The sequence below is a fragment of the Homo sapiens genome, chromosome 8 (genome assembly GCF_000001405.40).
Source record: "Homo sapiens chromosome 8, GRCh38.p14 Primary Assembly".
NCBI lineage: Eukaryota > Metazoa > Chordata > Mammalia > Primates > Hominidae > Homo > Homo sapiens.
Window position 1 is genome coordinate 76,681,021 of NC_000008.11, and position 19,840 is coordinate 76,700,860.

General features: G+C 37.9%; 1 protein-coding gene and 1 long non-coding RNA gene across 3 annotated transcripts in view, besides 1 other annotated feature; one reads left to right on the plus strand and one right to left on the minus strand.

Annotated features, from left to right (window-relative positions):
* ZFHX4-AS1 (ZFHX4 antisense RNA 1) overlaps positions 1 to 2,255 on the minus strand; it is a 72,397-nt gene extending 70,142 nt beyond the window's left edge. Inside the window, exon 1 of the long non-coding RNA NR_024360.1 lies at positions 2,032 to 2,255. This is a non-coding gene — a long non-coding RNA (ZFHX4 antisense RNA 1). The remainder of the gene's footprint in view (positions 1 to 2,031) is intronic.
* Positions 227 to 19,840, plus strand: part of ZFHX4 (zinc finger homeobox 4) — a 186,035-nt gene continuing 166,421 nt past the window's right edge. For both annotated transcript variants that reach the window (NM_024721.5, NM_001410934.1), the window contains exon 1: positions 227 to 600. The gene's annotated coding sequence lies outside the window, so the exon portion shown is untranslated. The remainder of the gene's footprint in view (positions 601 to 19,840) is intronic.
* Positions 4,752 to 7,390: an enhancer, noted in NCBI's record as "VISTA enhancer hs1318". NCBI's record gives its function as "enhancer in: midbrain (mesencephalon)[4/6] | forebrain[4/6]" and the evidence as "EXISTENCE:transgenic organism evidence [ECO:0001131][PMID:17130149]".

The following is a 19,840-nucleotide window of genomic DNA, read 5'->3' on the forward strand; positions in this document are numbered from 1 at the left end:
CCCCATCCCCTGTCCTCTCCGCGGTCGCCGCATCCGGGGCTCCAGCCGCAGCGCTGGGAGCTTTGGAAGCCGTGAGGCTCCGGAGCTGCTCTGAGTCCGGGCTGCGCGTCATTTGCAGTCTGGGGAATGTTGATCACCTCACTAATTACACCTCTCTCTCCCCCCTCTCCCTCTCCCTCTCCCTCGCTCTCCTCTCTCATTCCCAGAGTGCATATCGGGAATAGACACACAAAGACATGCGCACTCAACTTAATCAGCCATTTTTTTAAACAGGGCTAAAACGATAATAATTAGCAGAATAAAGACATATCGGATTTTCATTTCCTTTCCTCCTTTTCCCAACCCCTTCACAACCAAACAGCGAGACCGCGGTCGGCACATGCTTTAACTCCTCCCGGACCCCCGAGGACCGCTCCATGCCCCCCACTTTCTGCTCCAGCGTTTTTATTTTCACCCAATAAAGTTCGAGGATTATTTTTTATTTTTTTTGTTTTTTTAATGAACCCTCTCGTTTTACTTGGATGTGATCAGCTGTAAGTAAAATAAAAGCAAAACAAAAAAGAGGCGAAGATCGAGTAGGAACTGCAGGGGAAATGGAAAGTAAGTTTTTTCTTTAACTTTTATTGAGTAGTTTCTGTTAAATTTAGGTCGAGTATCGATTATCTTTCCAGCCTGATCTTGCACAATCTTTGATATTTCGCTCCCTCTCTCTCCCTCTCCGCCTCTCTTCCTCTCTACCCCTACCTCGCTCGCTCCTGCTCGCTGTCGCACACATCCCCTCATCCCGACCATCTCTTCCGCTCTGCCCCCCTTTTCTATCTCTTTCCCCTTTTTTTTGGCTCAAGGTTTTGCTCCGCTGAGGGAGGGAGGGGGCACTGAGGGACCTGATTTTCCACTTTCTTTAGGGGGGCTGCGTTTTTCCGGATTTAACTTTTGGATTAAGTGGCGGAGGATCATCTACGTTTGCTTGGGCAGTTTTCTCTCCTTTTCCCTGTCTTTTCGGGTTTTGCCTTCCCCGCGAGCCCCGGGCATTCTAGTGGCTGGGGGAAGCTGTCAGCTCCGCAACGGCGCGGGCACTGCCAGGGGTCTCCGCTCGCCCCGCGCCCCTGCACCCCGATCGGGATGACTGGTCCTCCGCACTCATCCTCTGAAAGTTTGGACGTTGGTCGGTGGGGCTGGGAGCCCCTCTCTCCCTGCTCTTTCCCTGCTTTACCCTCCACCCCCCACCCCACCTTATTCAGCCTCGTTTTTCTTCCTCCTTTTACCACCCGCCCCTCTTCCCCTTCTCAAGTTCCCCGAAGGTCGCTTAGTGTGCGGGGCTGGCGGAGGCCCGGGGGTTCGTGAGCTCTGGGGAGGGGATTCCAAGAGGCTGGGGTGAACGCTGGGGCTGGGGCTGCAGGTAGACACCCGCCCACCGGAGCGGGCGCGGCAGGCACTACCGAGGGCTGCTCTCGGCGGCGCGGGCGCGGGCGCCGCGGAGGAAAGGCAGGTCCGTTAGGAGGCGGGATCGCCCGGCCTCTGGGCCAGGGACCCGCGAGGCGGCGGCTGCTTGCTCCGAACGGAACGCCGCCGGGTGTGCGTTAGACCAGCGGATAGACGCCCGCGGCTTGGGGTCAAGAATCTTTTCCTTTTTAGCAAAGGGCAAGGGGTGTGTGCGTGTGCGTGTGCGTGTGTGTGTGTGTATTGAGTGGCTGTGTTCGGCTGTGAGAACCGATTCATTCTTCGGCCCCCCTAAAAGGGTTCCATGCCTACAAATGAACTTCACCTCCTTCGTTTCTCCAAGCATCAAGTGCGCCTTCTGGCTGGGAGCAGCTAAGGGAAAAGGGACTGGAATGCGCCGGGTCTCTCCTTCCTTCTACTTCTATCCACCCCCAACCCCCTTCTCGCTCCTCTTTTCTATCAGAAAAAAATAATAAAATCTCTCATGGAATTGTATAAAGTTTCTCTGCCGATGTCCAAGTTACAGAAGGTTCCCTATTCTAATCCCCTTCCCCTAGAAGACGGTGCACTGGTTTCTATTTCTTTTGTTACCTGTGATCCGGGCGGGGGGCTCCTTTCGGCCGCTCGGGCTGGGGTCCGGCCCAGAGAGGAGGCTTCTGCGGGCGCCTTTGGCCGCGACTTCTCACTTCCGCGCGGTTCTGGTGAGGTTTTAGCTACCGTTCGGTGAGACACCCTCCTTGTAGGTACCAAAGGTTCAGATCGCAAACACGGACCCCCCCCACCTCGACCCCTACACACACAGAGACACACTCACACTCAACACACACTCACAGACACACATTCTCCCTACTCTTCCCCCCACCTCCGGCCCCCACTTTGTCTTTCCCCTCCCCCCTTCCAAAAAAAGCACACACACACATACACACACACACAACAACATCCCCCCCCACACACACACCAAACAAAAACCCAAAGACAAGTTCACTGGCAGAAGATGGTGGATTGACACTGACTCAGACAGAGGCAGGTTCACCAGGAAATCTGGCCGTCCTGATTTCTGACAGTTGCATTTCCTCTCCTTGAGTCTCCCCCCCACCCTTTTTATTAACTCTGTTCCATGTTTAATCAAGGATCATGTAGATGGCAAAAAGAGAGACAGAGAGGAGAGAGGAAGAGAGAGAGGGGGGGAGAGAGGGAGAGAGAGAGAGAGAGAGGGAGAGAAGAGACAAGAGACAGAGGAGGGTTTTTTTTTTTTTATTGTGTTCTCCTGGATTTTCAGTGGCTTGATCCCTATAAACGTGGAGTGGTTAAAGCTCATATGTAGTATTATATTTTTAGTTGGGTGGATGGATGGAAGAGTGAGAGAGAGGCTGCGGCTGCCGCTGCCTTTTCGGGTGTTGCTTAGATTAAGGCTGAGACTTGGCTGCGATTGGGACGCGACAGTGACACGGGCATCGATCGCTTCCATTGAGAGCAATGCAAAAACACAGCCCGGGTATGTAACACTCTCGGTGCCATCAACACTTGTTTTACTTTGTATTTACTGGCAAAACTGACAGAGCAAGCTCAGACTTTCTTTCTGTTTTGGTTTTTTTTTTTCTGTTTCTTTACTAACTGAAGACTAAAAACAATTGTGTATAGAAATTGCTGAAAAGGGTGGTTTAAATAAAACAGAAAGGAGATATTCGGAATTATTTCACTACCTCTGTGACTGACTGTGTTTTGGAGTTTTCCTTTTCCACTGAAGAGCATATTAAAGAGAATGAAGGTTTTCTTTTTTCCTTCCTCATCTTAAAAAAAAAAATCCTTAAGGGAATATTTGATAGTTTTCAAGGTTTGTGGTTTCAGTCAGCAGGAAGGCACACAAAAATAAAAGATGGCTAGCCAGCTGTTTTAACCTCTTGCACCTGGCTTCAGTGTGGGGATCATAAGGTTTATACAGTTCTTTTTTTGAATGGTTTTAATATTTATGGCATAAACTGGGGAGAGCACCACTGTGTTTTTATTCAGTTGCTGGTTGATTTTGGATTTTTAAAAAAGTAAACTCATATTTAGGTGTTTTCATGTTTATGGCAATGAAGATAGGGTCAATGAAATATGGGGGAAATATCATAAATCTGAAAAGTGAAATGTACCCAAGGAACAAAGAAAGGTCAGGTAAACCAGCTGTGTAAGTCAAAGCAATAGCACCAACTGTGGGGTTAGACAGGGATAGTGGACTCTGGTTCTATGAAGTGAAAGTTGCCACTTAAAGTTAAAAATGAGGCAAACATGTTCAGTGCTTTTGTAATCTTTTGCAGTTTTTAGCAGATGAGCCCAAATCTGTTCATTAATTTTGAGCTAGTTGGATTATTTTAAAAGATTCTTCATGAGCAAAGGAAAACATAAAGGAGGCTGAGAAAATCACTGTTTAATATTGCAGAATTTACTGCTTCCATTCTGACCATGAGCCTAAATTTACACAATGAAATTTGATTATCTCTAATAACAATATTAGATCCTGCACTGGATGGATGAGAATTGAGGTGGTTTTGTTGATTGCAAGGGTTTAATGTTGCATTTCAGAATCTGATGTGGTTTGGCCTCCCCTCCATTAACTGGAAAACCCCTGAGGTTTTACAATTATTTCTTAAAGATAATACATTTAAGATTGCATTGGTAGGCTGAAGAAAAGTCATAAAGGCAAGAAGGGAAGCCCTTAATAACTCTTGAGATTCAGACATGTTCAGCAGTTAGATTGGCTCTGACTTCACCAAGGGTCGACAATGTGTCATTTCCACGAAGCCAAATTGCCCTCTGCCTATATGATATTAATGTGCAAATCAATATTTCAGGGATTAAATTTCCCTCCTTCATTTTTTATGGTTTCTACCTCAATAAGTCTCAAGTCTATTAGAAGAGGCTGGATGATTTAAAATCTTTCACTGCAGAATGGCTTGTCGTAGTCTTGTTTCATAGACCGTTTTAGGATTTTCGTTATAAAGACTAAAGACATCCTAAAGAAGTTGTGAGGCAGTGTAGACCCAGGCTCAATAGTGTAAAGCCCGTGTTCGATTAAGAACTAAAAGATATTGAAAATATAATATATACGTTTATGTAATATATATGTACATTCTGCTGCTTTAAAAATATTATGTTAATCACCTATTGATTTATTTCAAAATCAATTGAAGCTTCTTTCTTATTAGTGATTTGTTCAGCTTTCTTGAGGACTGTGTTAATTTTCTTAAAGAGTATGCATGAATTAGCTTGGTGTGAAAGTATTGGGGCAGAGGAGTTTTCAATTAGCAATATTTTCCTAAGAAATATTTTCAGCAACCATTGTTTAGGAGAGTAATAATCAAGAGGTGTCATTTGCATACATTGTTGTTATAGCTATCATTGCATTTTGTGGCTGAATGACTTAGCTGATCTATGTTAAATGAGGCCTTCTTCAATTCCTTTTACATTTTGTTTCTAGCACTTAGTAGGTGCAACGTTTCTTTTTATCCTCTTAGAGAAAGAAAATTATGAAACAAAATATGTGACTTGACTGGAAAGAATACAGAGCAGAAATTTGGAGAGAGGTCAAAATAAAAGATTGTGACTTTATCACATAATCTTGGGAAGGCCTACTGTCTATCATTTGGTGGTGTTTTATGGTCTTAAACCCTCTGGACCAAGTTCCGCACAGCTGCACGAATTTCATATGTGATAGAACATTTTTTCCATTCAGTGTGAAATGTTCCTTCCTAAAAAACGTACACCAGACTCGCTTAATTTAGTCTGTTAAAAGAAATGCACATGAAAAAGGACAAAAGGCTCTTTAATCTCTGCAAGCTGTTTGTTTTTCTTCAAGATTCCTGTCTATTTGGGTTTGAAAAGTCATGTTTATTGAGGAGATGATTCTGAGGTGTGACATTAAAATAATATATGATTTTTGGACTGGTGGCCACGCTTCTGCTTAATTTGCAGAACTACTTTTTATGCCTGTCAAAACACAGCGTTAATCTATCCTTATTTACAATTAATCTCAATAAAATTAATCTTAACTATGCTTTATTCAGTGGCTTAAAATATCTAATTATATTCAATTAACTGCTGTCATAGTAATTAATATTGCTTAATTGACTCTGCATATATTTATGTAAAGCTCATTAGGTGCTGCTGACTCCTTTTCCCTTTCCTACTTGCTATTTTTGCTGTTGTCAAACCATGTTCATCTCCCAAGGTTCGACAATGTCAATGAGAACAAATTCTTTCTTAACATTTTCTTGAAATGAATGTTCCTGCCTTCCTTTGAGAAGATACTCGTTATGAGTCTTTAAAGACTAATCCATCTCCCTCTCTTCATTTTCCTTATCCCTGGTCTCTAGCACTCTCACAAAATATGTTCTGTCATTGTTGCTAGAAATATGAGAAGCCAGGTTAAGCTTTGTGTTTATAAATGAGGAGCCTTTCTGTGACTGCCTAAGGGCTGTACCCACAGGGAGAGGGTTTCCCCCCCTTCTAAGACCACTCTAAGGGTTAAAGACTTGGCCAAGGTTCAAACTGAGAAGCGCCCAGGGAAAGTGCATGTGAATATGTACAAGTTTCATGTAATTAGTGCTTAATTATATTAACATATGCAAATTGTCAACTTAGGAGCTTGTTGAGCTGGCAAAGATCAGCTAGGCACAATTGCAGTATTGTTCTGAAACAATAATGGATTTCAAGTTGGATTGTGGAAACACATAACTAGCTATCTAATTTAACTCATACCGTGGTGAAATTTCATTAGTCTCCATGGAGACTGGTTTAATTGTGCTGACTAATGTTCTGGGCTGCAGAATGTCCTAAAAAGAAAGCGTTGTTTGCCTAATCCACCTTACAATGACACTTGTTTGTACATGTTTCCCTTGTGTGAGAATTTGCATATGCAAATAAATAGTTTCTCTGCCCCATTTGTCATGGCTGTTCATTACCCATGAAGAGGACATTGTTACTAGGCTGTTACTGAGTCTCCCAAGACGGGATAGTGTCAACCAGTCCAGCTACATTCTTTCATAATTTGTTTCTGATTAATAGACCAGAGTGAGTCTCATTCTTTTTGGGCATCTGTAAAAGGAAGGTCACTTCTGTCACAGAAAAGAGTTTCTGCAGTAACTGAAGGACTTTTTCTTCTTCTTATTCTCCCTTTTCCACCCATTGGTTAACATAATCATATTTAAAATAATGGATTCTTGTTCTAAGAATGCCTCTACTAATAATCTCTGGTTTCCTAAAGCAAAAAGATAGGAAAAGAAAAGAGATTCTGTTATTGGAATATTAATCCTGTTTTTGACAGAAAGGTAAACTGATATAATTGCTTTTCAGTTGAAGGAATGGGGGTTTATACAAGTGTGAAAGCATCGGAAAAGGATTAGCATTTTTTTGCATAATGAAAAGCTCTGTTGAATAGGGTCCTGAATGGCTGACTGAATGACTAAGATGAAAGGAAGATGAAAATGCAGGCTTCTCTTTCTTTATGTCTATGCTCCGCTCTCTCTAAAGTTATGTTTGTCCAAGACTTGAGAAAACAAGCAGGGGCTCAGATTTCAGCAACTTTATAAGATGCTGTGTTTTCATCATCATTGGGACGTAATGTGTATGACAATAGTGCAGCTAGAAGATGATCAACAGAGGTTTGTATATAGAAGAGTTTCAGAAACATGCCAGGCTAGCCAAATATTGACTATTGGGTATCAGGAATTCCCAGCACTTTGCTGGCAAAAACAATTATTTTAGAAGAGCCAATAGTATGGTGTGGATATTTAATTCAGTTAATGATGGAATATAAGGTGCCTGTTTTTTTCCCCATAGGCTATAAATAACTATCTCGATTGGTGAAACACTTCACTTGGGAAAGAGTTGTGTAATCTGACTTTTGGCAATGTTAAGTGTTTTAAGTGGTCTATCAGCTTTTGTGGCTGGGAAGGGAGAGAAGAGGGTACTGATGTATTTTCTTAAGATTTAATTCATAAAGTTCTGAATGCAGTCTTCATGTTGCTTTGTAGGTGTATTGTGTATTTTATTTAGAGATAAGTCTTTTTAAAAGTGTCTAGGTATTATAAGTTCACTCTTGGAGACATTTGTAGTAGGGTCCCCTGTCACTAGTTAGGGATGTAACTGGTTATCAGTTGACAATGTGATCAACACTCTTAATGATGTTTCTTCAGCCAGCATTAGGACAGTTAAAATACCATAAGTGTGAAGACTCTTTCAAAGATCGGAATTGGTTCTTTTGTACCTATGTAAATCAAATGCAGTGCAGATAATTATTTATATGTATACATTTTAAACAAGCTCTTTCTGGTTTGAGGTCACCACAAATGATCCACCGATGGCTGTCTCAGAACAAGGTTAGAAGATCTCATCAGATATTAACCCAACTTGTTTGTTGCTAGATTTTAGAACTTCCATTTGCCTCATCACTTTAGCAGTTTTGTTGTTGAGGTACTATTAAGATGGTTAGATGGAAACTTGGGAAATCACAAGTATTTTTACATAAATTAATGTGTAAGGGTTGACTCTTGAGTACAGCATATTGTAAAGGAAAACTGTTTGATCTATGTTATATAGTCCCCCAAATTTTTTACTGGAGTCCTTTTTAAAATTTGTCAAGAAATTCTGGATTGTTTCAGAAACTTTTATGGTTAACTTTATGATATGCTTGAAAAAAGTCTTAAAAGAACAAAAAAATCCACATGGAGGCTATTCTTTTACATGCAGAAGGGCTTATTAAGGTATTTCCATAAGAAAATGTGTTAATTTAAAAAATAAATTCATTTATATTTTAAGACATTGTTAACCAGGCACCATGTGTTGTAACTGGCAGTTTTCCAGCCACCATGGAAGTGGATCACACATGGGTTAATAGTAGCTTATGTGATGTCTGCATTCTTAGGAAATGGGCAAAAGCCCAGGGTATTCTGATATCAAGATTTTAGAAATCAGACAGAAAGCAGAATATGTGTTTATATGTGAACAGATGGACACATGTGAGAACTAAAAGTGCACAATTTCTCTTGGCACTTGTTTTAGTTATCCCTGATGATATAACCAAGATCTTAGTGCACTCACAGTCTTTGATGGCTAAAGACGAAATGGGCTTTTAATGAGGGCTCGATGGCATTATATTCTTGCATAAGGATTGTGCCCCTTGTGATCTTGCTGGACTTGATGTTCTGTTAATTCCCTAGTTTCAGAGGTTCACAAGTTGCCTTGAAAGTTTGATATGGTTTCATATTTGACATACAATCCTCAGTCCAAGAATGGCTGCTCTCTAGTCTCCCTTTCTTTTAAAGGTTTGTGAATAGAATCAAATATTTGCCACTTTAAGGCATATTTGAGTTTATGCACTGGACTTAAAAATGGCTTTGGCACTAAAGTCATATTTAGTAAGCAGCTTATCTCTAATATAATTAACCACTTTAACATTCTAGAGACTGGATAAAATAAACAAATACGATTTAAGAATTTGGGCAGACTGACTTAGTTAATACATCATAATGTCCTGATGGTCCAAGAAAAGTTGTGAGGACGTGTTTTGGTCACTCAGGTTAGCGGTTCACACACCAGCATCATCATTCAGATAATAGATCATTTCTAATGTTTGTCTGACTTGAGGACACAACAGTGCTCAGATGATAATTACTGAATGGTATGCACTGTAGGACATACCTCTAAAGACAACATTTATAGGTTTCATTGTGTTCTAGCTATAAAAAAGAAATCACTCTGCAAATATTTACTCAGGTCTAAATCATTTTAACCAGGGAAAATTGACTTTCAGGTTAAAATATGCATTTTATAACTGCCCATAAAATTCTTTTCCTTCACTGTAAAGAAGAAAGGAAATCCATAGTTCTAACAATGTTAAAATACAAAAACATATGAGCTGGTGTATGCCACCTGGTTATATTGTTAAAAACAAAATGAAACATAACTTCTTAAGAGGGAAGTTTTTGAGGAATCTTAAAGTTTGTCTGCTTGGAAGAATAGGTTGAAAAAGACCAATCATTTTTACATTTCCCATGGTATTTTCATTAAACCTGAAATACTTTGCTAATGTGGATTTTCAAAAATATAGTGCTTAGTAGTTTTTAAAATACCATAAATTTTGGAATAATGCAATTAATACTTAAGATTTCCTGAGCCCATTAATTGAAAATTAGAATTAATCATCTCTTTTGGTTTAGTGGATACAACTGTGTTTCATCATCCCTAACACTCCTACATTCCTATTCAGTAGAGTATATACAGACAGACACACACACACACATACACACACGTCTACCCTCTTTCCATGTTAGGCCTCTCTTTCCTCTTTAGATGCATTCCTAGTGGTAGCTTGTGAAGTTTTCCCTTCATAGGCTAAACTTCTTTCATCTTCTAAGAATTGGCCAATATAATCTCAACAGAAAAGAGCAACTAGGATGGTAAGGCAACTAGAAATTACCAAAATGCCAGAGCCTGGGAAGTGGCCTTACGATCATTCAGTTCAATTAACTCATTTTAAAATATGGGCTATTGAATTAAAGAGAGTTATCTTTGATTACCCAGCAAGGCAGGAAAATGTTGAGACAAGAATTCACATATTCTAACTCTAGGACCAGTGGTCACTCAACTGTATTGGCTATTTGAAAAAGGCTTGTTGAATGAATGAATATGAAGGTTGTGGAGATGGTGAAGAGTTGGAAGGAAAAATGTGCATGATAACCTGTCTTCTCTGAGAGAGTGAGCTCTCTGTTATCGACAGGAGACAAGTAGAATCTGGATGGCCTCTTGTTATTGTGACTGTTAAACATATTTTTGTGTTAAGTAGGAGGTAGATTAGGTGCTCCAAATGGACAAGAAGAGCCTATGATTCATAAAAATACTGATGATTTCAGTGACTTAAAGTGTATTTATCATAATCATAAACATGGTGTGAACAAGAACAACACTTCAATTCCGTGTAAGGAAAGGATATGAAGTCAAGGCTGTGATGTTTTGGAGGCAGCATAATGTACAGAAAGAATAACACCTAGTTAAGACCAGACATTTTTTGATTCTGCGTACTTTGGTTTCTTTTTTCTTTTTAAATGATATTATTTAAACGACATTATTTAAACTTACATTTTAGGTATTTTAACACCTACTACATTTGTTGGCAACCCAATGCTTAATAGGAATCTTATTCAACCTATAAGATACCTGGATTACATTTCTGTTATGGGTGCCCTTGTCCAAGTTACTTAATCTTCCTGAGCCTCAGTTTTCTCATCTGTATATCAGGGTTGCTGCAGAGATTACATAAGATAAAGTGTTGTGAACATTAAAATAAGTGATTGTGGGCAGGACCTGATAACTGATCCGTATGTTCCTTTTTTGTTTTTTCCCAATGGTTGTTTCAAAGTCATGATCAACTAAAGAGCATTTGGTAAAGCAAGTCTACACAGATATTTTGAGTAGAGTTTCCCCTCTCTCCTACAAGAAAAAGATATGAATTTGGCAATGGATATGTCTAAGAGGTGGGGGAAAGGAGTAGTATCCTTCTTTTGATATTTTCTTACTGACAGGTACCTAAATGGCATCTAGGTTGACAGGTGGATGCTCCTCCACATCTTTATCTGCCACTCCATCACTACAAGCTGGTTTGGTCCTAAGGGGCTTCTGGGTATTTAATGCATTTCTGAATCTTCATTTTTTTTTAAGAAGCAAATTAGGACAGAAACAGTTTTTCAATAATTCAGACCTTAGTCTATCCACATGAACTCAAGATTCCAGACACTCCATTAAATACAATAATAGAAATGACCATAATGCTTATTTCAGTCTTGAAGTTGAAAGCCTCTGTTTGAAAGTCGCTGAATTAGAGGATTTTCCAAAACTGGATTATGTACTTGCTATTAATGATATTATATACTTGATATTAGTGACATTTTCATATGCCAAGAAAGGAGAATGGATACTGTTACGTGGTATCCTGTTGACCAAAATTTATACCAACCTAGAGAAGAGATCCAGTTATTAATAATTCAATAACATTATGAAACCTTAAATTTTCTTAGGTTATTTTACAGCCAACTTATGGGTCTCCACCTGGTTTATCTCTTAGGGAATCACAGTCCTTTATTGTTCTATAATAATGCATTATTCTGGAGGACTACCCAAGTTCAAAGATGGTAAATTCATGATGAGTTAATGTATATAAATACAATTTTTTGAACCACCTGGAAATGAAAGTTCTGTTTTTTTAATCTGTTTATTTTTAATACATTTTTCATTGCGATACATGTAAGATACACATTTAAAATTATTGTTTATAATTTTATGGGAAATCTAAGTGCATTTGGATTATAATTTTCCAATTTTGTGTTTGATTATTGTTTAATATTTATATATGTTTGGTTCATAACACTTGTTAAAGTACTTCTTAAAAATAAAAGTGTGTGCATGGCCTATGTTCTGGTCATTTATAAAAGGCCCTGGACTTGACATTTCATTTGAAGCACATTTATTTAAGACAAAGCATTTTTTAATATTAATCAATATAAGGATATAATTCATGTAGAGAAAGCAATTAGCATCTTAACATTTTTCATGATGCTTGTTTAAGTGTCTCCTCAAATAAAACTGCAGCCTCCATGAGGGTAGCACCCACTTCTGTTTAAACACTATATCCACAGTGATGGACATACTATTGGCAAATCTTTGGTGCTTAATAAATACCTGTTGAATGAGTGAATGGATAAATGAATGATAATTAAAAACATAAATAGAAAACTTCAGTTTACTGTACTACTGGAATCTGCCTTTCCTCTTGAAATCTAGGTACTGAAAAAAAAATCACCTTAAAAACAGCTGGACTTGTCTTGGGAAATTCCACAGGGAACACTATCTTACAGAGAAATCTAAATGGCTTTTTATATTAGAACCATAGATTGTTGCAGTCAGAAGGGATATAGCACAATCCCCTTGTTTAACCAATACGGAAACCAAAGCTCATGGAAATTCCTGGGAAACATCACATAACTACAGAGTGCAGCTGAAGAAATTGAGTGTGTATGTGTGCGTGTGTGTGTATGTGTGTGTGCCCTCTTCAGTTTAGTTGGCTTAGCTTCTCCCTATCCAAAAATTCTATAATATTAATATGAGAATAATTTGTTATGCTTACGCTGGAGATTATTTTTATTTGTGAGCAAAGAAAGGTTTTAGTTGTTACAATTCCTGTGCTGACTGCTCTGGGATTGTAAAGGTAAACTGTTAGAGATAGGACCACAATTGCCTGAAAGGTGAAAGCTTGCAGGAAAAATAGGGTGGGTCATTTAGTTCTTGAAATGAAGGAGGGTGCAGATTAGGAATCATTATGGCTTGCCAGAAGTTGCTGGTCATAGAAGTCTGTTTAAGTGCTCACTGTCAACAAGGAAATCATGGGCAGCACTTGAAGTGGCTCACCTCTGATTTATTCATAAACCTTACACGAGCACTTGGCTTTGTTCTTACTCTAGTAAGGCGGTCTGATGCCAATAAGAACAGGAATAAAGAGCTCCTTGCATGGTCCAAGACTGAATAGCACTTTACCTCAAAGCCTGACCTCTTTTCTAGAAGTCTGTTATGCTAGAGTTGACTCTGATTGGCTGTGGCTCCTCAGATGAATTGAGAGAAGAGGTTATAACAAGTATCTACTCTGTAAACTCTATCGTGTACATAACAAGAACGATGTGACTGGAACTTGGGTTCTAACATAACCTAAAGGTTGCCATGTTTATGCTAAATGTTAAGGCTCTCCTTTTGAGAGAGCTTAAAAGTTTCACATTTAATCATAGTTTGGAAGGAAACTATTGCCTCTTTCTAATTGAAGAATACAATGATCTCAAAGTGGAATTGTTTTTGATAATCCCTTCCCCGACTAAAGTGAATGTAAAGAGATTTAGTAACATAGGAAATGAAGGGTTTGAGAATAAAATAGGTGCTACCCTGTGATAAAGACAAGCAAATCGGTTGGCCTGCCAATTGGTAAGCCATATTTTCTGAGAAGCTTCATTTGTGCCACTTCACAAATTATGCTCTGCTGCAGATGCCCATGTTGAACGGAAGGGACCTTTAAGAGACAGTCAGCCGGCTGGTTTGCACTGGGGCAGAGGTTGAGTAGAGTTACTTAAATCCCCAGAGCATCATTTAGTTAATGTTAGTCTTTTTTTTTTCCCTCCTCCTGCACCCGCCCCCCACCCTCCGCCCCCTGCTCCCGCCCCCGCCTCTGCCCCCGCCCCCGCCCCACCATCCTGTCCACTCAGGCTTCCCTTTTCTTCTTTTGATGAAGTTGATCTCTTATTACTTACAGTGCATATATTCACAAAAATTTTTCCTCAGATTTTCGCAACACATTACATGAACCCAGAAGAGCCATATTAGGAGATGGCGATGAGAGTTAATGATATATTTTTAGATAAAGCCATCCTCCCGTGCAATCACATCAGAGTCATCAGCTCATTTGTCATGGCTGAAGTGAAAATGTCAGGACCAATGAGTGTATGAGTGCTGAAGGGGGCGAAAGGGCTTTTGGAGAGAGACATTTTTGTGCTGGGAGTCGGTCATGGCTTAGATTTAGCTCCAGGGAAATATTGGGATTAGCCAACACTGTGTACAAATCCTTAGCACAACAGAATTAGTTGGGAAAATGGGGAGGTGGGGGTCATGAGGATAGGCACATTTCTGGAGACATTCTCCAGGCTACAGGCCAGAAACTATGGAAAAGAATGAGGTCATTTATAAAATTATTTTAAGGGATATGTTGTATGCAGGTTCATCAATTTCAAAACTGAAGTCATAGGTTTGAATGGTGTCAAGGAAGACCTGCATGATGTACCACTAAATACGCATATATGGCCTCTGTTTTAAATTTAGCTGCATGAAAAGAATTTCAATCTTAACATCCATTTGAAAAGTTTTCAGAAAGATAATATTGGAGTACACAAAGATAACATCCAGGCATAAAGTACTTTTGACATTATGGTAGAATGGAAGTTAACACTTAATTTAAATAACAGTAATTATGACGAAATACTTGTTGCATTGTTGAATTTACACAAAACCAAGAAGCTAAACTTTCTTTACAGAGACTTCATTCTGAAACTTTAATTGAAAAGCAAGTTATTTTCTTTAGCTGCAGAAGTTCTTATCTTTGATAGACCAATACTAGCAGATTTATTTCATTTTAGGTCCAGTTAACTGTTCTCTTTCAGATAATGTACCCATACAATCTTTTCTTGTTTAATTCTATTGATTTACAGTGTTAAAGTGAAATAATCTGATACCTGTTTCCTGCCCTTTGAGTATTTGTCGTCAAAGAGGCTGATTAGTTTTTTCCCCCAGCTCTTTAACTGTTTTAAATGTATAATTATCATTGCATGTCATTTGATAGCTGCACTAATTGCTGCCAACTATTGTCTGTTTGCACTTAATGCTGAAACCTGATCAACATCCTGCTTTGGTTGATGTTTGGTGGTAAACTTTAATTAACTCTTATTGCATTGAAGAAGAGTTCAAGCTTGGTGCTAACTAATCATTTACCTTCATTATGTCCTGACAGCTCCACTTGTTCTTGGTCCTAATAGATACACCAGTCAGTAAATAAACCTGCAAACCTCATGACTTGTAGTTTCTCCACACTGATATTTTGCTACTTAAAGTATAAGATAATTGGGCCCAGATAATTATTTAGTTAGTTTAGTATCTCTAGTTCTGTAGACACTAATCTTAAATTGCTTATTTCATGCTGGACAATTTCATTTTAATAGAAACTGTAGATTTGAGATAACATTATTTCTTCAACATGGTTCCTCTGAACATGCATCTTTTGAATCAATACAATTAAGCTTGTCTCCTGTTGGAATTCTTGTAATTATTTTTCCTGAGATACTTTTCCTGTAATGATATTGAAGTTAAAGTAATCAGGTTACCAGCAGATCATGTAAAATTCAACTCAGAATTGCTGGCTGCTTGATTTTAATTAGTCTGACATCAAGTTTGTTTGAAAAGGGATAATATGTGGGTAAACCAAGGAGCTTATAATTATGGTTGACGGTTGTTTATAATGAAATCTAATTAAAGTTCATATATTTAAAACACAAAAGCTAATTACTGAATTGCTCACTTCACTGATGGGCAGCAGTCAAATTTACTTTCAGGCCAAAAAAAAAAAAAAAAACTCAAATAAAAATCCCCAAACAAAAGGCTCTTCATAATAGCAATAAAATAACAACTAATCTCAGAAATCAAACATAAGTTTGCCAATATTTCATCTAGAAGAAAACTTGTCATTCTACTTATGTTCTCTATTATGCTAGTCCTAATGTGGTTTTTAATATAAAGTTATTTAAAATATTTACATGGAATGTAAAAAGACACTTGTATTTGGTAGAGTCTAAGAGTATTATATAGTAAGATGCACTTGGTAGTGATTTAAAGAATTTATGCATATAACTTTCTTGAGTGAAACTATTTGAAATCATATAAAATTATTGAAATCATTGCTCAAGAAATAGGAATGTTTGCTGGTGTACTTGACTTGTGATTGATTTTATGTAGATAATTATGGTAGGTTTAGCCTGCAAGAAATGATTTTTTAAAAATATGTACCTACGCTATTATACTTAGTTATAGTGGTTATGAGATCATATTGGTAGCAATTGTGAAATAGAAATAATTATACAATTGTTTTTTCTTTGAAATATTTGGTTGTCAGTAGTTCAATAATCAATTTCATATATGAATAGACAAAGGAGAAAAAATATAGACGCATGTTAAAATATACCGTCTTTACATTGTCTTTCATATGTCTTTACATATGAAATAAATTGTATGTGCACTGGTTTTTACTAGTTCGGTATATCTATTTTTGAAGCCAAATATTCTACAGTTATATATAACTTAATAAAACCAATTAAGATTAATTTTTTAAATGTTCTTATGTGATAACTTAAAAGGTTATCAACTACGCACTCTTAGATATGCATATGCCAGAGAGATTAGTCAGTTACATCTTAAAGACTAGCAATATAACATATGAAAAACATGGTAACTATGATTTATAAATTCCAAAAATGATCGATGCGGTTCATGTTTTTCCAAGGAAAACTACAGTGTTCTGTGTTAAAGCTTCATGTTTAGCAGTGTAATTTACTTGAACTTTCAGATATGGTAGAAATTGAGGGAGGGGGTCTGTGAAAGAAAAATAATTCTGTCCATTATTGAGATGCCTGTAAATGTAAGTGTAATTTACACAACCTTTCCATAACTTCAGGGTATATTTATATGCATTTTATCATAGTACCTGATTGATTTATGGATTAATATTTTTTTAAGGAAGAAAAATTAAAAGGATCATATAGTCATTTAACTCTAATCCTACTTTGCATAGATGAGCCAAAGAGGAGATGATTAATGCTGAAGTATGGCTGGGTCACTGGCATTTGGAAGTACCTTTTTCCTCAATAAAGACAGGAAAAAAAAGTCAGTATATTCTCAGTATTGGCAAACAACAGCTTTCTAGTAATACTTTAGCTGATTAGGAAATCCTTAACCTTTAATGAAGCAATCACTACAAAGCCTTAATGTCAGCTGGAATACTAGCAAAACAGTATCAAAGAAAGACTCAGAAAGAGGCACTGAACATAATTACAGTTCATGTCCTTGTCTCACACCAATGCAAACTATTCATTTTCAATTAGAATGAATAAGAAAATTAGAAATCAACTAGATTGGTTGCAAGTACCAAAGTTTGTTTATAGAGGGTAGCTAAATTATTGGGTCCATCTTGCACACTGATTATAAAATTTTCCTGAAGCAAACAAATAAAATGAGTCATATAATAGTGTAATTTTGTTAAGGAGAGATTATTGATTCCTCTCTAAGGAAAGTAGCTGGAGTTTGATTAAAGTTTTGAAGAAAACTGAGTAAAATTCCTATTTCCCACAACTATTCAAATTTAGAACTATTGGACTCATTGGTAAAGTGCACCTTTTCTCCTTAGCTCTTCATCACATATGTTTAATGCTATGTAATAGTTATATACAGTCTATGCAGATTTAGTGATGTGAGAGAGAATGAGGGAAATGAGGGTGGGAAGAGAGGAAGAGAAAGAAAAGAATGAGAGGGAGAAGAAGACTATCAATCACAGGGTCCCATTTACAGAGAAGAAAACAAATCTTCTTTGACTAGCTAACAGATTTTAATGAGAAAAATGAGAGGAAAACAGAGAAAAACGACTTAGTTGGCTCACATACTCATACTTGTCTTTGTAAATTTTCTCTACTTAAAAAATGTGCCTGTTTAAAATGCTGAATATATTTGGTTACATCCTTCTATTCAAACTTAATTACCTTCTCCCCTTTGTCGTGACATGGGTGGAAAGTTTTTGCCGTGTCAGGAGAGGTCGTCACACATTCTTTTGCAGTTCTCTTCATTAATTCCTTCTTGCAGAAGCATTTTCTCTCGTGCTGGGAAGGTAGGAGGGTGTAACAGAAGAGCCCTGAAACATCAGCAGGAAGCTCTAAGCTGGTTAATGCAGTATAATTGTCTGGACATAGACTGGTCTTTGTTTGTGTGGTTCACTCCGAATCAGCTGTAATTAACTCCAGAGTGTTTCCAGATTGCCAGCAAAGAAAAATTACAGCTTTTCTGTTTTAAATTGTAAAGCTCACAAACATTAACTACGCAGATTGCATTTACTTTGATATATTTCTATCTTACAAGTAAAAAAGCTTGTTTGGCTACCCAACCCCCACCTCTAAAAATGTGCTTTTGTTAAGTTATTTGATTTAGTGTCTATTGGAACATAATGACTCCTTAATAGTTGGATTTGAAACCTTTTCACTTAATATTTTCTATCCCTTTACATCCTTGCATTTGCTGTCCTTCTTGCTAATGTTTTTAATACTGCAGTGGAGAAAAAGTTACACAATCTTTCATGAAATACTCCACATACACCAAAATAAGCAAATAGCAGAGTAAGGTGAATTAAAGAGAAACACTAGCACCAACTTAAGACTGAGATCAAAGATGTATCTGACGTAACTGGTACTTCCACACAGGTATTTACCTGCGTTATGATATATCAAAAGAGAGACTGAGAAACAGGCAATTCCCCTACCCTCTTCTCTTGGTTAGCACACCACACCCTTTTAAAAGCTTCTGTACAGTAGTTTATAATTATGAATTCCAACTTGGGTAAAAGTGAGGTAGCGATAGTGGTGTGAACTAATACAGCCTTGTACACAAAAGATTTGTCAGCAACTGATGCAAAAAAAAAAAAAAAAGTCCAGCCAAAATTCTTTTTTTTTTCTTTCTTCTGAATTTAACAATAAGGAATTTAAGCCTCAATGTGGCTTTAGCAACCAAAGAAAAGAAGCTCTTGGTGTCTGCATAATACCACTTTGATGGATTTTTTTCATCAGTTCTCTGTACGTGGCAACAAATAAACAAGTATAATTATACTTGTGAAGGTCTATTCATTGCTTTGTCAGGATTAGATATATGTGCCGTTTTCACACTGCGCCTCTCTTTTGTCTTTGCCTAACTCACTATGACATATTGATAGAGGATTTGGAATGGGGAAAAGGCCACAGCAGAGACAGTGATGACCTTTTGGAAACTTGATATAATTCAAGGATTTTTATTTATTTTCTATTTTTTTTAAATTCGTAACTAGTTACCAAATTATCATGTAAGTGGACAACTTTTAACCCATGTAAAATGGAGTAAATAAAGACTCAAAGTGTTATGAGATGGCTAAAGGGCAGATGAGAATAAAAACAATAGGCTAAGGAGCCCACTGGTCTTCTTTCCCAGCACTTAGCAGAGTGGCTAACCTAGCATTCCTTTCCCATTATTCTTTCCTCTTGATCAGATCACGTTCTTTTTAATCATTTCACAAACACTGTCTCACTGGACCGTAGAAGAGGGCTGGGACAATCTCAATTAAAAAACAGAGGTAAAACTGGCCTCTCTGATTTTGGGTTCTAATGGGAACTCTGCTTTCTGAATGCAAAGGAATTCTTCTATTGTTCAGAAAGCACCCCCTTTCATTAGTCAGGCTCCTTGTAGGTGGGTTTGGTCATTTAGCAGAGCAGAGTTTAGGCAGCAGTGACTTCAGACGAAAGCAAAGCAGAATGAGTAATAAAAGTTCTTTTCTGCATATTGTCCATTAGTTCTGAAAAAGAGATTTGACATGATCAAAGTCACTGATCTTGTGAATTACTGAGAATACCAAAAAATGTGTATGTGCACATATTCTAAGCAGACCAGCAGGTATGTATTGCTCTGAATTTAGCATTAAAACTATGTTAGGTTTTCTCTTCGGGATTTCTTGAGGACTTTGGTGATTTTACAAACAGAATGTCTGGCAGTAGGGAACAGA